Source organism: Homo sapiens, chromosome 4 (assembly GCF_000001405.40).
Source record: "Homo sapiens chromosome 4, GRCh38.p14 Primary Assembly".
Lineage (NCBI taxonomy): Eukaryota > Metazoa > Chordata > Mammalia > Primates > Hominidae > Homo > Homo sapiens.
In genome coordinates, this window is record NC_000004.12 from 104,850,561 (window position 1) to 104,852,023 (window position 1,463).

Here is a 1,463-nt window from a genome sequence, read left to right on the forward strand (position 1 = left end):
TGCATTAGCTATTTATTCTGATGCTCTCTTTCCCCTCACCCCTCGCACAGACCTCAGTGTATGTTGTTCCCCTCCCTGTGTCCATGTGTTCTCATTGTTCAGCTCCCACTTACGAGTGAGAACACGTGGTGTTTGGTTTTCTGTTCCTGTGTTAGTTTGCTGAGGATGATGGCTTCCAGCTTCATCCATGTCCCTGCAAGGGACATGATCTCATTCCTTATGGCTGCATAACTACTATATTTTATTGTTCAAATTGTTCCAGCTTTGGCCATTGGGAGCTCTTTCAGCTGGCTCCAAATTTCATTTTTTAAAATTTTCTCTAAGCTTTATTATTTCTTTCATTATTTTTGTTTGGCTTTAATTTACTCTTCCTAGACTCCAAAGGTGATATTTAGTTTAATATTGACTCTAGACCTTTCTTCTTTTGTAATATATGTATTTCATGCTATAACATTATGTATTTTTACATTGAGTTCAAAATATTTTTAATATCTAATTTTTCTTGAACTCATATGTTACTTCAATGTTTATGGCTTAGTCTCCCAATAGTTTAGAATTTGGAATGGTAGTAGGGGAAGGAGCAAAGACCAAATTAAATGAGTAGAAAACAGTTACAAATATGGTACATACTAATCCAGCTACATTTGTAATCACTTTATATATGAATAGTCTACATACATTGATTAAACGAGATCGGGCCAGGCGTGGTGGCTCATACCTGAAATACCAGCACTTTGGGAGGCCAAGGCAGGTGGATCATTTGAGATCAGGAGTTCTAGACCAGCCTGGCCAACATGGTGAAACCCCGTCTCTACTAAAAATACGAAAATTAGATGGGCATGGTGGCAGGCACCTGTAATCCCAGCTACTCAGGAGGCTGATGCAGGAGAATTGCTTGAACCCAGGAGACAGGGGCCGCAGTGAGCCGAGATAGCACCACTGCACTCCAGCCTGGGTGACAGAGTGAGACTCTGTCTCAAAAAAAAAAAAAAAAGACAGAGATTGTCACAGTGGATTAAGAAACAAAACTGAACTATATCTTTCTGATAATAATTTTTAGTTTCATTTCATCTGGTTGGAAAAAATGTATTTTATATAATTTTTATTATTTTAAATTTGTTAAGGTGTATTTTCTGGTTCAGAATGTGATCTATCTTGACATATGGTCCAAGTGGACTTCAGAAAATGTGTACTCTGCTCTTGTTATATGAAGTATTCTATATATGTTGAATAGATTAAGTTGATTGACAGTGCTATTTCAGTTATTTCTATCTTTACTGATTTTCTGCCTGTTTAATCTATCAAATATAGACAGAGTTTCCAACTGTAATAGTGGATATATGATTTGTCTATGTCTCTTCTCAGTTCTTGCCTCATTTATTTCAAAGCTTGGTTGTTAGGTCCACAGATAGTTAGGATTGTTAGATCATCTTGGAAAATGGACTCCTTCATGATTACATAAC